At 36.9% G+C, this 17,631-nt stretch overlaps 1 protein-coding gene, 1 long non-coding RNA gene and 1 other non-coding gene across 5 annotated transcripts in view; 2 read left to right on the top strand and 1 right to left on the bottom strand.

Moving 5' to 3' along the window:
- Positions 1-17,631, top strand: part of FGF12 (fibroblast growth factor 12) — a 588,152-nt gene that overhangs the window by 193,139 nt on the left and 377,382 nt on the right. The window lies entirely within an intron of this gene.
- Positions 291-394, top strand: LOC124906347 (small nucleolar RNA U13). Its single transcript, XR_007096313.1, has one exon. It is a non-coding gene; the product is annotated as a small nucleolar RNA U13 (small nucleolar RNA).
- On the bottom strand, positions 13,005-17,572 carry FGF12-AS3 (FGF12 antisense RNA 3). The gene is made up of 2 exons (NR_185499.1): positions 17,392-17,572; positions 13,005-13,114 (listed from the first exon to the last, which is right to left on the bottom strand). It is a non-coding gene; the product is annotated as an FGF12 antisense RNA 3 (long non-coding RNA).

The following is a 17,631-nucleotide window of genomic DNA, read 5'->3' as shown; positions in this document are numbered from 1 at the left end:
TAAAAATAAAGAGCTTACATCTGGTTTTGTTTCTGGAAGTGATAGAAATATGATTAAATGATTAGAAAAAATCAGAAGTTTAAAATATAAGTTAATTTTTTAAAAACTCACATTTCCTGAGCACTACAGTAACCTAAAACCAGCTTCTTTGAAGTTTACTCAGTGTGTTGAACTGTAATGGAAAGCTAGCAGCTATACTGCTTATACTTTTTTCTTAGAATCACTAGAAAATATTTGACCATAAAAAATAGATTCTGAGTAAAATTACTTTTTTTAAACAACCAAACCTGATCCTTTTGTAGTTCGTAAGCATGATGATTGGGTGTTCACGTGTATGTGTGAGATGTGCCACCCTTGAACCTTGTCAAGACATCGGCACATTACCCATCTGATATGAAAAAAAAAAAAACCCTGTCATCTTATAAAAATTCACATTTATAAAGAGGAATAGAGATAGGACACTGAATGCTTTGGGTTTGTTTTGTCGACATTTATGTTTTCAAGCAGGCTTGCTTCATCCAATTTTTATATTCTTTTGAGGAAAAATACACTGCCAGGAATCACAGTATGCAATGCAAATTAGACACAGAACTATTCCCTATGGACTTTCTAGCCTATGGAGAGAGATATGCATGCAGACAACAGAGAAAAATGGGGTCGCTTCTGATGTTTGGACTGGCCCACGATAAACTTTAATAAACTAGAAGAGACATAGAGGACAGTTTTGGCTAAGGAAAGAAAATGAACAGAGGCTCAAAAGTTCAAAAGTCTATGTCCAAGTAAAGCAAGTGCAGGCTTACATTTTACTGTCTTTAATTTCTAAATTCAAGAAGCTCTGAAGACCACTGTGTGTGTTGTTGTTTTTCCTTAAGCTACAGACTGACCTGAATTGACAGGAGGCTATTTATAGTCTTTATTTGTCCTACTTATGAGAATATTTATAGATTTTACTGCAGAAATATCAATGTATTTCATTATAGGTGCAGGCCCCAACATACATGGATTTTGCTAATATTTTATACATTAACTGTATTACTTTAAAAAAATACCACCTTGTTCCCCAAAAACCTGAATTACAAAACTCACTCGGCCCCAGCTGTTTCTGGTAAAGGATTGTAGACTTGAAGTAATTATGGGGGAAGTGATATTATAGAAACTATGTCCAGAAAGCTAGGTGAAGATTGTGCCAGTTCTTGAACATACCAAGTTACAGATTTTGGTAATTTGACTATAGATTGTAAGGAACCATTATACACTTTTGAAGAAGAAGTGAAGTATTCAACCAGTTTTTATCAAAATTGGTTGAATCCCTGAGCACACGCTATTTTAAATTTTTTCTCCATGCAATTACAAAAACTCTGAGTAAGATGGTGTCAGATGAAATGCCTTTTGAAAATAGATATTTACATCCATCATTTGTTTTCTTGTGATGGTGTGTAGGAGAAATAAGGTTAGAGAAAACAATTCTAGATCATGTCTGCAGCTTGCTAAGTGTCATGCCACATAAATATGGTCAGAGTTTGATGTCCCCAAATGACTATGCATTAAAAATACAAGAATTGTCTCATAGAAGAAAAAAATAAACAAGCAAAAAACCATAAGAAATAGTGATTTATTTCATATTTGTTCATGTTTCTTGCTAAAAATACCTGAAGGCAAATTCCAGAAAATTTGTTTCTGATTTGGTTAAGAAAATTGAGAAATTAAAAATGTTATTGTCATTGTTGTGTGTACAGTGTATGTGTGTCACTCATAGTGAGTCTTTAAACTCTGCCTTTAAGAACAAGCATCAAAAGTTTGGTACAAAATCAATGTTCACAAATCAGTAGCACTGCTATACACCAACAACGACAAAGTTGAGAATCAAATCAAGAACTCAATTGCTTTTAAAACAGCTACAAAAAATAAAAAAAATACTTAGTAATATACTTAAGTAGGTGAAAGATCTCTACAAGGAGAACTACAAAACAATGCTGAAAGAAATCATAGATGACACAAAGAAATGGAAAGACAACCCATGCTCATAAATGGGAAGAATCAATATAGTGAAAATGACTATACTGCTCAAAGCAATCTACAGATTCAGTTCAATCCCCATCGAAAGGTCATCAGCATTCTTCACAGAGCTAGAAAAAAAAATCCTAAAATTCATATGGAACCAAAAAAGAGCCCACACAGCCAAAGCAATACTAAGCAAAAACAACAAATCTGGAGGCATCACCTTGCCCAACTTCAAATTATACTACAAGACTATAGTTACCAAAACAGCATGGTACTAGTATAAAAAATAGGCATGTAGACCAATGGAACAGAATAGAAAACCCAGAAATAAAGCCAAACACTTATAGCTAATTGATCTTCAACAAAGCATACAAATACATAAATTGGGGAAAGGACACCCTATTAAATAAATGTTGCTGGGAAAACTAGCAAGCTACATGTAGAAGAATGAAACTGGATTTTAGTATATGCTAATCCAGAATGTAGGTCTAATGCTGAGTGTCTAGGAAGACCATGGACTAAAAACAACTAACAAACAAGAAAGCACTATCCAAATAAGCTGCCATCAGATTAACACCTCCTAAGCAAAAGCTACTTATATTCCTCAACTCAAGGTGTCAGTGACAGCATCAAGCGTGTGGTAGAAAATTAAAGGAGGGGGTTGATTTCCCAAATTTTATCTTCACATAACTTCCTTTCAAAATATAACAACCCAAAATGTTGTTAATAACTTTAAGTTTTAAATTTCACCTTTAAGAAAAGTATTTTCATTTGCTTTAAAATAATTATACGTTTTAAAAATAGGGACGACCAGTGGGTGTTTCATAATAGGTTCTGACCGGAGAAAAAGAAAAAAAAATACCCAAACCTCTTTTTTCGGAATGTACTAGTCCTTTTGAAGAAGATCTTCTGTAAATGGGGAGTCCACTAAGTGCTAATCTCTATGTTAAGCATTTCCTTTTCTTTCTTTCTTTTTTCTTTTTGCCACAACAAACCTCAAGGCAGACTATTAGCTTTGTTTTGCAAATGGGGAAAATGAAATTAAAGTTAAGAAATGTGTCCATTAACACACAGCTGGGACTTGAACTCAGCAATGTGTAGCTCTCAAGTGTTTCTTGTGATGTCATCTAAGACTTTGACAACCAAACTGATCATAATCTCTACAATGTGGAGTGGACAACTGAAATGAAAACAGGAAAGAAAAAAAATCACCACTCTAATAACGTGTGTAGCTGTAAACTATCTTGCTGTCCAATATTTTTCTTATAGTTTTAAAACATTAAACTGCAGGGCTGGGTGTGGTGTCTCATGCCTGTAATCCCAGCACTTTGAGAGGCCGAGGTGGGTGCATCACCTGAGGTCAGTTCGAGACCAGCCTGGCCAACATGGTGAAAAGCTATCTCTACTAAAAATACAAAAATTAGCTGGGCATGGTGGCATATGCCTGTAATCCCAGCTACGTGGGAGGCTGAGGCAGGAGAATTGCTCAAACCCGGTAGGTGAAGGTTGCAGTGAGCTGAGATTGCTCCATTGCATGCCAGCCTGGGTGACAGAACAAGACTCTATCTAAAAAAAAAAATTAAAATGCAATTCAGATACCATAAAATTTACCCTTTTAATGTGTACAGTTCAGTGGTTCTTAGTATATGTATAAGTCTATGCACCCATCACCACTCTAATTCCTGAACACTTTCATCACCTCAGAAAAAAACTCCATGCCCATTAGTATTCACTTCTTATAGAATTTTGATGAAGCAAAATCCTTCAAAAGCTTTCTACTAAAAGTCCAATTTTCTTAGATTTCTCCTTCAAACAAAGACAATTCTTAAATATTTTATAGATACAGAAGAGAAATTATTAAAATAATCTCAAATAACAAATGAGCAATATTGCTGTTGTTGAATAAATCTTCAAGGATGAAAGGATGAAAAGGATTATTACTGGTAGAGTTTCCCAAAAGTCATAAATGTCAATAAGCTTCTCCACCATATCATTACCACAATTTTTAAGGACCTACGATCTGGCAGGCACCATATTAAGATATTCTATCTCAATTTATTCTGACAACAATTCTAAGGAAGTATGAATACTCACTCTATTGTACACATGAAAACCACTGAAAGAAGGAGCAGTCGTCTCATCCAGTAAATGTAAGGGTTGAGAGGTAATCCTAGGTCCAGTTTGATTTCAAAGCTCAACCTCTAAACACTAAGCTCCACCAAGTGAGAGAAAGTGGATCAAAAGAGAATGTAGATGTCAAATTAAAAAAAAAAACAGGATGGAGAGAGAAGGATGAACAGAAGTGGGTTAAGGGTACAAACATACAATCCAATAAGAGGAATAAATGTAATGGTTGGTAGCAGAATAGGATGACCATGCTTGACAAAACTGTATTATCCTCAGGTGATGGACATTTTAGATACCTTCCCTTAATTGCTACCCATTAGATATGTGTAACAACATTTCTCATGCACCTCACTGATATGGTTTGGCTGTGACCCCACCCAAATCTCATCTTGAATTCCCATATGTTGTGGGAGGGACCCCATGGGAAGTAGTTGAATCATGAGGGTGGGTCTTTCCTGTGCTGTTCTTGAGATAGTGAATAAATCTCACAAGATCTGATGATATAAGGGGGAGTTTCCCTGCACAAGCTCTCTTCCCTTGTCTGCCACCATGTGAGATGTGCCTTTCACCTTCTGCCTTGATTGTGATGCCCCCCGAGCCAGGTGGAACCATAAGTCCATTAAACCTCTTTCTTTTGTAAATTGCCCAGTCTCCAGTATGTCTTTATCAGCAGCATAAAAATGGACTAATACAGTAAATTGATACCAGTAGAGTGGGGTGCTGCTGAAAAGATACCCTAAAATGTGGAAGCAACTTTGGAACTGGGTAACAGGCAGAGATTGGAACAGTTTGGAGGGCTCAGAAGAAGACAGGAAAATGTGGGACAGTTTGGAACTCCCTAGAGACTTGTCAAATGGCTTTGACCAAAATGCTGATAATGATATGGACAATGAAATCCAGGCTGAGGTGGTCTCAGATGGAGATGAGGAAATTGTGAGAAACTGGAGCAAAGGTCTCTTGTTATGTGTTAGCAAAGAGACTGGTGGCATTTTGCCTCTGCCCTAGAGATTTGTGGAACTTTGAACTTTAGAGAGATGATTTAGGGTATCTAGCAGAAGAAATTTCTAAGCAGCAAAGCATTCAAGATGTGACTTGGGTGCCATCAAAGGCATTCAGTTTTATAAGTGAAAGAGAGCGTAAAAGTTGGGAAAATTTGCAGCCTGACAATGCGATAGAAAAGAAAATCCCATTTTCTGAGGAGAAATTCCAGCTGACTGCATACATTTGCATAAGTAATGAGTAGCTGAATACTGTTCCCCAAGACAATGAAAAAATGTCTCCAGGGAATGTCAGAGGTCTTCATGGCACCCCTTCCCATCTCAGGCCTAGAGGACTAGGAGGAAAACGTGGTTTTGTGAGTGGGGCCCAGGGTCCCCATGCTATGTGCAGCCTAGGAACTTGGTGCCCTGTGTCCCAGCTGCTCCAGCTGTGTCTGAAAGGGGCCAATGTACAGCTCTGGCCATGACTTCAGAGGGTGCAAGACTCAAGCCTTGGTAGTTCCAATGTGGAGTTCAGCCTGCCAGTGCACAGAAGTCAAGATTTGGGGTTTGGGAACCTCCACCTAGATTTCAGAGGATGTAAGGAAACGCCTAGATGTTCAGGCAGACTTTTGCTGCAGGGGCAGGGCTCTCATAGAGAACCTCTGCTAGGGCAGTGTGGAAGGGAAATGTGGGGTTGGAGCCCCCACACAGGGTCCCTACTGGGGCACTGTCTAGTAGAGCTGAGAGGGCCACCATCCTCCAGACCCTAGAATGGTAGATCCACTGACAGGTTGTACCGTGTACCTAGAAAAGCTGCAGACACACAACACCAGCCCATGAAAGCAACTGAGAGAGAGGCTCTACCCTGCAAAGCCACAGTTGCCGAGCTGCCCAAGAGCATGGGGACCCACCTCTTGCATCAGTGTGACCTGGACCTGAGACATGGAGTCAAAGGAGATCATTTTGGAGCTTTGAGATTTGACTACCCCACTGGATTTCGGACTTACATGGGGCCTGCACCCCTTTGTTTTGGCCAATTTCTTCCAATGCTTGAACCCTCATTGTATCTTGGAAGTAACAAACTTGGTTTTATTTTACAGGCTCATAGGCAAAAGGGACTTGTCTCAGATGAGACTTTGGACTGTGGACTTTTGAGTTAATGCTGAAATGAGTTATGACTTTGGAGGACTATTGGGAAGGCTTGATTGGCTTTGATATGTGAGGATATGAGATTTGGGAGGGGCCAGGTGTGGAATGATATGGTTTGGCTGTGTCCCCACCCAAATCTCATCTTGAATTCCCACATGTTGTGGGAGGGACCCAGTGGGAGGTAGTTGAATAATGGGGGTGGGTCTTTCTCCTGCGCTATTCTCCTGATAGTGAATAAGTCTCACCAGATCTGATGATTATATAAGGGGGAGTTTCCCTGCATAAGCTGTCTTCTCTTGTCTGCCGCCATGTGAGACATGCCTTTCACCTTCCACCATGATTGTAAGGCCTCCCCAGCCACGTGGAACTATAAGTCATTAAACCTCTTTCTTTTTTAAATTGCTCAGTCTCTGGTATATCTTTATCAGCAGCATGAAAATGGACTAATACACCCATAAATATGTACAAATAAAAAAATAAAAATGAAAATAACAGTTCAGTCTAAATGGATTATTTACATAAGCCCAGGATGCTGAAGATGGTTATCTAGTGCTGGCTCCTAGAAGCATTATTGCAGTGATTTTCATATCTACATATTGAATGCTTACAATGTGCACTTGCATAAGACCATAGAAAACAGATCTTTCTGATCCTTCCATTTTTCATTATTTGTTAATTAACCTATAAAACTAGAAATGGAAACAATGGCAAAATCTGGAAGTATACAACCTTTCAGACTAATACTATGAACCTCTTCTCCCAGGTCTTTGTCTGTTGGTCTTCCAGGATCTTTATCCTAAACTAGTCATCATCTTAGTTTATTTTCTGTTGTTATAACAGAATATCACAGACTGTAATTTATAAAGAAAAATACATTTAATTTTTGCAGTCCTGGAGGCAGGGAAGGCTGCTAGCATCTGGTGAGGGCCTTTTTGCTGTGTCATATCATAGCAGAAGGCAAGTGTGTGCTAGCTCAGGTCTCTCTTCCTCTTCTTATAAAGCCACCAGTCCCATTGTGAGGGCCCCACTCTGATGATGTTATCTAATCCTAATTACCTCCCAAAGGCCCCACCTCCAAATTTTATCAATATATGTTTGGGGATTGAGTTTCTAACACATGAAATTTTGAGGACACATTCAAGTCAGCATCAATTTAAGGGTTCCAAAGGCTCCTTTTCTCCTGGCTTGCATTTCTTTTGGATTTTTTCAAGACTTCCTTTATTTTTATCATACTTGAAACCATGTGGTAGGTGTGTCATTGATTTTTAGGAAAGACAGAAGGCATGACGCATACTGCTTTTGTTGTAACTGAAATGTAAGGTTATAATAAATTTGATTAAGGCTTTATCTTCAGTCGAACCATATGGTTAACTCTAAAGAAACAGAATCATATAACTATTCTGCAACTCGGGTAAAGTTTTCAATTCAATTCAGCAGATATTTATTGACCATTTCCTATGTTTTGAGTAGCATCTGTATATTGCGAAAGGCAGAAATAGTAATATTTCATGATGAATGACTTTTAAGACTTACCATGAAAGGGAACAAAAGTGACTGTGTTTGTGTCTGTGTGCATGTGTGTGTGTGTGTATGCGTGTGTGTGTTTATAAGCTTGAGGTGAGGAACTGTATATAAAGCATGTGCCCAACTAATTGTGACACAAACTATGATGTGATAAGTGCCTCAGCATTTCCTGATTCCTCTGGCTAAATCAACACTTCTACCACCTCTTTAGACACCATAAAATCATGTACTTCTCCACTTTTGCAGCCGTTACAGTTGTAATAATATATTAGTTTGCATGACTATTTGGCTAAATTTTCAAGAAGTACTTTGGCTTTTTGGAAATCAGAGACTATTGTGTGAAAGTTCTGTGCTAAGAAATATGCGCAGGTAAGCTCCAAAGAAGGGCACCTAATCCAGCCAGGGAAGGTTTATTGACAGAGGTGATAATGAATCCAATTTTTGAAGGGTTGGTGTGAACTCACTGGAAGAAGAAAGAAAGCAGGATAGTCTAAGCAAGTGAACTATCATGTGCAAAAACATGTAGACATGAACATGGAAGTGTGACTCAGGCCAGGCGCGGTGGCTCATGGCTGTAATCCCAGCACTTTGGGAGGCCAAAGCAGGCATATCACGAAGTCAGGAAATCAAGACCATCCTGGCCAACATGGTGAAACCCATCTCTACTAAAAACGCAAAAATTCGCTGGGCGTGGTGGCGCACACCTGTAGTCCCAGCTACTCAGGAGGCTGAGGCAGGAGCATCACTTGAACCTGGAAGGCGGAGGTTGCAGTGAGCCAAGACGGTGCCACTGCACTCCAGCCTGGCGACAGAGTGAGACTCCGACTCAAAAAAAATAGAAAAGAAAAAAACGGTGAGACTCAAGGACATGGATGGAGTTAAGTTCATGTACGGAGATAAAAGAAGACAAGCAAATCATCGTAGGTTTTATGTACCAAACTTACACTGTCGACTTAATCTTCAATACAATGAAAAGTTTCTGAAGAGCCACATTCTTTAGGGACTTAAGTTTTGGGGTGATTATTTTGGCAGTATGGAGGCTAAATTGAAGGCAGTTGGAATATTTTTGTAAATATGTTGTAGTAATTAGGCAAGATGTGATCAGGGCCTGAAGGAAGGCAAGAATAAAGTGATGGATGTTAGAGATGTTAAACAAATAGTATCTGTAATACTCTCTGATTGGAGATAAGTTAGCAAGAACAGTCTAGGATGGCTCACAAGGCTTTGAATTTGGAAACTGGATAGTTAGATGTAGTTGCTCATTAAAATATGGAGCTCAAGAAGTTTACAGAGAAAGATACGTGTCCAGTTGTAGTTATTATTATTATTTTTTTGAAATACCTGTGGATCCTTTAGCAGAGGTTTCCAGGGAAACTTGGAAATGGATGATTAAATCTATGTAGGTATCTTGTCAGCAGACACAGATCCAGGAGTTATCAATAGCGTAGGAATTTTAATGTGTAAGAAGATGCCTAGTAACAGTAAAAATGGAGAAGAGATTGAAGCTTGGTAAATAGTAACACTTAGAGGATGGCAGAAAGAGAACTATGATGTTAATAGAGAAGTAGAAGGAAAACCGAGAGAAAAATGATGTTTCTGAAGATGAGGAAGAGTTTCTTGAAATAGAGTGATCAATAATTTCAACACATATAATTACTGCATCTTTGTAGCATTAGGACAAAATGTGTCCATTTTATCTGGAATAGCCTTGATTATGGTGATTTTATAAAAAGAACTTTGGTGAGATTGTGCAAGCAGGAGGCAGCACTCGGGTTTAAGAAAGAAAAGAAATGCTGAAGTGAAGGTAGTACATATAGCCTCTTCTTTAAGATGTTTGTATGTTTGTGGAAGGGAAAAAAGAGAGGATAGAAAAATAATGCACAAAGGAGATTTCAAAATTCCACATGTGCCTTTTGCCTGGTATGTGAGAGTGGCAACTTTGGCCTTAACCTGTGTTCTGCACAGGCAGAAAGATATATACATACGTACACTTGTGAATATATTTGTGAGCATAACAATCACCTTAAAGGGGCTGAAATATTCATTCTCCAAATTACTTCATGTCCAACAAGCCTTTGATATGGATCCTAATGAACATCTCCAGTTAACCCTTTTTCTCCTCCTTTCCCACAACCATTTGTATTAGGACAGTTAAAAGCTTGCCATCAGGAAAGTTAGCCAAAGTCATAAGCTTAGACTCTTTCCTATGCCCTTTTCTGAAAGTTAACACTAATAGAAAGCTCAGAGTTTACTGTAAAGGCAATGCTTATTTTTATTGGTCAGATCTTTAAATGAATGGCTGCCTTCTGCTTCTAAAAAGCAGACAATTTACAGAGAAAATTCAATTTCCAGGGAAAGGAAAAATGCCCTGAAATAATTTCTATGCCTATTATCAAGTAAGTTTGATTCTGATGCTATCAAAACCAGGGGCAGCATCATAGTGTCTTTTGGAGAATGTTGCACTAGGAAGGGGGCAGGGGTTCTGAGCCACTTAGTTGCAGCCCTGCTGCTGGGGGCCAGGTGACTTTAGAAGTCACTGTCCCTTTTTTGTATTTTTTTTTTCTGTTAAAGGATGGAGTTAGAAAATAAATGTCTACCATGAGTTGACTTATGTTAAAATTTTATTCCCTAAAACCCCAAATGAAGTCATTCCACATATACATATCCTTTTTCTATCTGCATTTTGGAAGAACCTCTTCTTTACAAATATCATGATACTGCTATGTGGTTTTACATGGTTTGCATCCCTCCTCGGCAATCAGAATCACTCTTCTCATCTGTGCTATCATTACCACAGGCTTCACATTTCTCTATCCATCTCAACATTGTTTGTATAGCTATCTATTATTTCCATCCCTATGAGATAGTGAGTCCACTGAGGGCAGGGTTATATTTAAACAAAATATGCACTCGCTAAATGTGCAGTGAATAGAAATGAATATTGTTTAATTCATTTAACAGGTGGACTTAATAGTATCTTATAAAATTTGATGAAAGTTTTATTTGGAGAGCTTGGATAATACGAAAGCTAAAAGAGGTTGGGTGAATCTTTATTATCAGACTTGGGTAGGGCTCTTTATTACTGTTTTGGTGTCTTTAATACTCAAGATTGTTGAAATTCCAGAAGGGCATGTGGGAATCAAACATGGTTTATAACAATCACATGGAAGTAACTATTTTTCCCAATGTCACCTAAATGTAAGACTTCCCATTTAAAAATGAATATATAGTTTAAAAGTAAAATAAGAGTAGCACCTCAGATTTATGGCACTTTGGAAATTTCTTATCATTTCCTCATGCATCCCTTCATCCTAGAGGATAATGATCATCAATACTTGAACTCCTTTTGGTACCAACATTCTACTGTTAGGCTCTGAGAAGTTATGATGTTCACTTAGGTCTTCTGATTCTCAAGGCATCAAGACTATATCCTGTTGCAACTTAGAAATAACATTTCTAGTCCCTGTGTGTCTCCTTCACATTCTGGATTTTTGTATTTTAATTAAGCTTAGTAATAAATATGTTTTAAAAATCAAAGCCAAATTTATATAACTGATTTTTGTTGTAATATGTTATTTATTTTGAAGAATATGCATATGGTACATTTTTAAAGTATAAAATGGAATGCAGTCAAAAGTAGGTCTCCCTCTCTGTTGTGTTCTGCTACCTAATCTTTCTCCCTCAGACGACAACTGATGCCAATTTCTTGTGTACCTTTTCAGAAAGAGTCCATGAGTTTATAAACGTGAACGTATGCACATTCTTATTTTCTAGATTACACAAATTGTGGCAAACTATATTTATTCTTTTATATGGTTGTTAAATTCAGTAATAAATTTCACAGATCTATTCATATTAAAAAAATTGTAGCACATTACTTTGTGGGAATATACCAAAATGTAAGTTAGTTCCTTATTGATAGATTAGTATCACTACTATCAAATAGTGTTATCAACAATGTTGTACCGACTACTTTGTGCAGTTGTCACTGTTGTATGCTTATGCAACTATATCTAAAATAACTAAATAAGAATTTGCCAAAGGGGGAATTGGCTTTTTAAAGTTTGAAGGTTAGAGACAAATAGCTATCCATAAAGGCATTAATGCTTACTTTTACCAAGAATGTATGAGGGTTCCCATTTCCTTTATATTCTCTCTAGTACACCAAGTTATCAAACATTTTTATCCTTGAAATCTTATACGGTATTAATATTTGATTTTGGATTATATATATTATTTCATGTGTGAATCTGATGACTTTTCAAATGTTTAAAAGTAAGTTATATCTTCTATCTAATTCATATCCTCACTCTAAATTCTTTCTGAGCTATTGTTTTTAAATGTAATACAGAATTACAAATATTTTTCCCAATTGGAAAATCACAAAAAAGTCCCCCCCGTTTTTTTTTGTTTTTTTTTTTTTTGAGACGGAGTCTCGCTCTGTCGCCCAGGCTGGAGTGCAGTGGCGCGATCTCGGCTCATTGCAAGCTCCGCCTCCCGGGTTCACGCCATTCTCCTGCCTCAGCCTCCCGAGTAGCTGGGACTACAGGCGCCCGCCACCGCGCTCGGCTAATATTTACTATTTTTAGTAGAGATGGGGTTTCACTGTGTTAGCCAGGATGGTCTCAATCTCCTGACCTCGTGATCCGCCCGCCTCGGCCTCCCAAAGTAAAAGTCCCCATTGTTTTCATTTCATCAATATTTAAATAAATTATTTCTTACATATTCTAGGTACCAAGATATACAAACATAAAAGATATGAACATGAACACCAAAATTTGGAGGCGAAAAGGCTCATAGTCTCTTGGGGGGAAAATATACATGTGCAAGCTGAATAAAATAAATCCTATAATAGAGGAATTGCAGTGTGCTGTGGGAACTACGAGGAAGCTGTGACTGCTTTGGGGGAGGCGGGGAGATAGGAGGGAAAGTTTACCAGAGAGATCGCTGTGGCTTCTATGGTAGGTCTCAAGAAATGTGTATAATTTATAGGGTCAGAGACGTGTTCAGGTGATAGGAGAAAAGGGTGGAAACACCCATTTTGTATTGTGCCCCTCCTTTGGTAATGAGTTTTGACTAATGAGCAATTGCTTTTTTTCCTTGACATTCATAAGTATTTATTATCCTGAACTGATTGACCTCATATTTTGCAAAATAAACAGCTCATATTTTACTATGATGATTTAAAAACATTTTCCTTCCATTTGAATTAGATAACTCATCTTTAAAGTTTTCTTATGGCTAACGAGCTCGTGTTTATTCAAGACAACTTGTTACAGTGCTATTAGAAGAGATGGAAAACGTCCAACTGCAGCCCCAAATCCTGGAGGTATCTATTTGAAGATAAGAAAAAAGTTCTCAAACAAATGACAAAATGTTCAAACTCAATCATAATTAGAGATATGCAAATTAAAACATTACAATCACACTGACATAAATGAAAAAGTAGGACAATACATTATGTTGGTAAGGCTGTGGGCAAATAGGCAATCATATATTGCTGGCAGGAATCTAAATTCATACAAGCCTTCTGGAGTAAAATTCAGCAATACTTAGCATAAATATCTATACACATACTTTTCGACCCAGCATTTCTTTTTCTAGGAGGCTACCCTGGAGGCACACAGAGTGTATTTCTCACAGGAGTATTGGTTAGCAGTGTTTTCTACAATATGAAAATGCTACACACAAGGTTACTTATTGCAGCATTGTTTATAATAGTACAATACTGGAAACAATCAAAAGACCACTACATAGAAGAGTGTGTGTGCATTTGTACAAAAGAAACACAGGCAAGATAAACTAAAGAAACCAGTTACCTATAGGCAGTGCATGGGAAATAAGTGGAAAAAAAGAGGGAACAGGAACTGGCCAGGAGGGATAATGAGGGAATAACGATTATCAAGCTATACTTTTTGGTAAAGCTTTGACTCTAAGTACCATAGTAACGTTTCACGCACCCAAATAAAAAAAATAATTTAAGTAAACTAAATCTAGTTAAATAATTAAAATCAATGTGTATGGAATATAAGTTTACAAATGAATAACCAAACCACACTGAAGAGGATGGGCAAGTAAAGAAGCAACCTAAGTCACTTTCAAAAGAAAATAGTATTTTGATTGGATACTGTAAAGTTCAAGACAAAAATAAGTGTACATAAATACTGTACTCTTGTAATAAGTGTTTCTCACAGGAGTATCAGTTAGCAATTCTCTAACTACCTTAAGTGTATAGTAGGATTTAATAAATAAGTGAATATATTATAAATAACGGAAGTCAGGCCTTTCACTGTCAGAAAGAAGTTACAAATAAGGAAAAGGCAAAAAATAAAATGAACCTGGTGGTATTGACTTAGGATTGAAGTATTAACGATATCTATCTCTATCTCTAGCTCTACATGATATATCAGAATCTATCTAAAAAGATATACCGATAGAAATGTAGAAATAAATATGATGTACGTGTATGTGTATATAGATTTCCTAGCTCTCTCTGCTGAGAGGACCTGAGAGCAATAACACCCCAGTAAGAATGAGGACACTTAGCGCTCAGATGTTGGTTGCTATTGTTCTCCAAAGAAAGAACCCAGACTCATTTGGCAATCATTTGAATCCAGGGCTAGGGTAGAGGGGACAAAATAAACTTGGAACATTATGTGATGCCAAACAATTAAGGAACTGCTAAAAAACAATTGGGGTATGTCAAAAGGACACAATAGCAAATCAGAAGGATCTCCCAATGGCTAAAGCCAGAACAATTTTAGCCACAAAATAAATAATGATAGTATTGGATTATAATCCTTAGAATAAATATCCTTGAGGCCATACTGATATAAATAAATAACTGAATACATAAATAAATGTAGGAGAAGGAACAGCTCTTACAGAATTCCTATTACTTTAGACAGAATAAAGGAAATACAAAAGTCACTGCCGGGCAAACTGCACATTAATAATTGTTGCAAGCAAGATCTGTCAATGGATGCTAAAATCAGTGGATAAAAGTTTGAGGAAAAATAGGACATTAGCACAGCATCAAAGTTTTTTCCTCAATATATTTATCAATTATAAATGAAAAAAATGTAACTTTACAATATGGAAATCTAGTAGACATAACTTTAACCAGGCAATCAAGGTTAATACCACTAACTGACATCATGTACCCTCCCCCCTGCCATAATGATATACTAAGAAGGATACAACATCACTTCTATGGCATTCTTGCCAAATGAATAACCTTAGACTAATCATTAGAAGACATTGGACAAATCCAAATTGAAAGACATTCCGCAAAATATTTGACCAATACCTATTAGAAATGCCAAGGTACTGAAAGACAGGGAGACTGAGGGACCATCACAGATTGAAGGAGATTCAAGTGACATGACAATCAAATGCAATATGGGTCGTAGTTGGATCTGGTACAGAAAAAGGACATGAGGGTGGGGAAGAGCTGGTGAGAGCTGCATAGCTGGTGAGAGCTGAATAAAGTTTGTAGTTTAGTTAATCACAAGGTACTAGTGTAAATGCTCTGGGTTTGATATTTGTACACTGGTCATGAAAGTCATTAACATTAGGGAAATTGGGTAAATGGTATGTATGAACTCTCAGTCTTATTTTATAACATTTGCATAAGTGGAAACTTATGATAAAAAAGTTTGGAAAATAATAGAAGGAGATAACGAAGATGAAGAAGATGAAGAGAAGGAGAAGGAGGAAGAAGAGGAACAGGAGTCAGGGAGGGGAAGGAAAAAGAAATAAAAAAGAACAAAAGGAAGAAGAGAAATTTTAAAATAACATGTTTGCTTTTTTAAAAACAGTATCAAGATTGTATTTGAAGGTATTGCTAAGATGAGAGCTACAGGCATGGTTTTGTGCCCTTTCAGAGTCAATGGGCTATATGCATAACATGGAACAAAAATGCCATGTTAGATATCGTACTGATTTTCATCTTTTAGTTTATATGTTGGTTTCTTTGTGAAAATAAATTTAATATCAATTCAACAGACATTTTGCCATTGATATATTCAATAAAAGTTTTGCAACCTGGCATGATTCTTTATATGTTATTACCAATTCAACATTCTCTTCCAAACAGATAAATATACTGATTAATTGCACAGCTGATGCCAAGAGTGAACAGATGCCTATGTTTAGTCTTAATAGAAAAATATCTTAGATAAGTCACAATTTAAATATCTCAAAACTCCCTTACACAATTATTAATTTCTACAAACTCTTAGTAATTATTTTTAAAAAGAAAAAATTTAGGTACTAGGAATTCAAACACATTCATCCATCATTATATACCAGAATTCCTAATCCTTCTCAAAAAGTGCTAACTTATTTTATTTTGAAGCCACACTGGTGAGTCACTTGCTATAATTTGTCCAAGATGTCTAAGTCAATTAGAAAACAGAAAGAATGGCTAACTTTAAAAAATCCCAACTACAGACAGATAACATAATTTAAAATTTGGGTATTAAAACAATAATATATCTGAATATAAAATTAAAAATATTATTGCCAGTAAAATTTTGAGTTTGGCTTATGGGATAATACACAGAAAGGAGAAAAGATGAATGTTCTTGTTCAAACTAAAATACATCACTTTCTTACCCTTCATGTGCTCCTGGCTATTTTTTTTGTTTTGTTTTGTCTTTTTTGGGATGTTATGATACATGTAAAAATGAATTCTGATATATTGCTCAAGATACTTCAGAAAGACTGTACTCTGTGTGCCTAATTGTGGAAGTGGGTGACAATCACATGAGGAGTTGCTTTAAAAAGCATGAACATTGAAATCCTGATAAGTGTAAGAGCCTTTTTTAAAAAATAAAAAACTGTCTAAGTAATACAATTCTACTGATCAAGTCCCTTTCATACTTACTTACAAAGTAGAAACTTATGTTGATATATACTTACAAAGTACGAGCTTACTATTATCAAATGTCCATACTATACAGTAAGAAAATATTTTGCATTAAAATGTTACGTGCCCTCTGAACTCACCTGAAAGCTCAATACCAACAAAACAATCTATAAATGTAATACTTCAGTTTGTTTTTATAAGTACTGTGATGATCCATTTCCTCTCTGGTCATAAGAATCACTGTGATAGCCATTTAAACAATACAGTACACTATTTGAATATTAATTGTACTGAGTTGTCTTTCCTGCTTTGCATCCTAAAAGTTTACAATCCTGTTGTGGAGTAAGAAGACTCACACATAAATGCTTCCTATAATCAAATAACAGAGCCACTGTATTAGACGTCAATAGTCTAACACCCAGAACCCAGGGAAGTTGGTAATAACACCTTATGTTGCAAAGATAATTAAAATCTTCAAAGCACTTTCACATGTTTTACCTAATTGAACTCTTGCCACAACCTTGCCAGGAGGCAGAGAGGGTTGTGATAAATATAAAAACTGATGCTCAGGAGGTCATATGTGTTTTAAAATCACACACGGACCTGTTCACTCTGCTCAAGTGCCGTCGAGGGAACCACAGCATTGTCCTGTTCATTTGCTATTTTTCCAGGAGTAGCACTTCCCTCAAAGTAAGGAAATAGCTCTAGGTATTGGGTTCCAGAATAGGAGAGCCCTACCGGAAAACCGTGTTCCGCTGCAGCACAAAGGACTATTTTTAGATGTTTTCCTTTTGCTAATTGTCTCTCCCTCTGTGGGGAATTTCTATGGGTAGAATCCCAGATGAGCCAATTTTCTCACTAATTCTCAAAGAGACAGGAAAGATGAAGACCATGGCTCAGGTTGCCCTGGGGCTGCATAACTTCTTCGGTGATGTCACTGCAGTGGTTTTAGGAAGATCTTCAAGGACCTTGGAGCTT

The sequence above is a fragment of the Homo sapiens genome, chromosome 3, assembly GCF_000001405.40.
Source record: "Homo sapiens chromosome 3, GRCh38.p14 Primary Assembly".
Lineage (NCBI taxonomy): Eukaryota > Metazoa > Chordata > Mammalia > Primates > Hominidae > Homo > Homo sapiens.
This window is presented reverse-complemented; position numbering and strand designations above follow the sequence as displayed.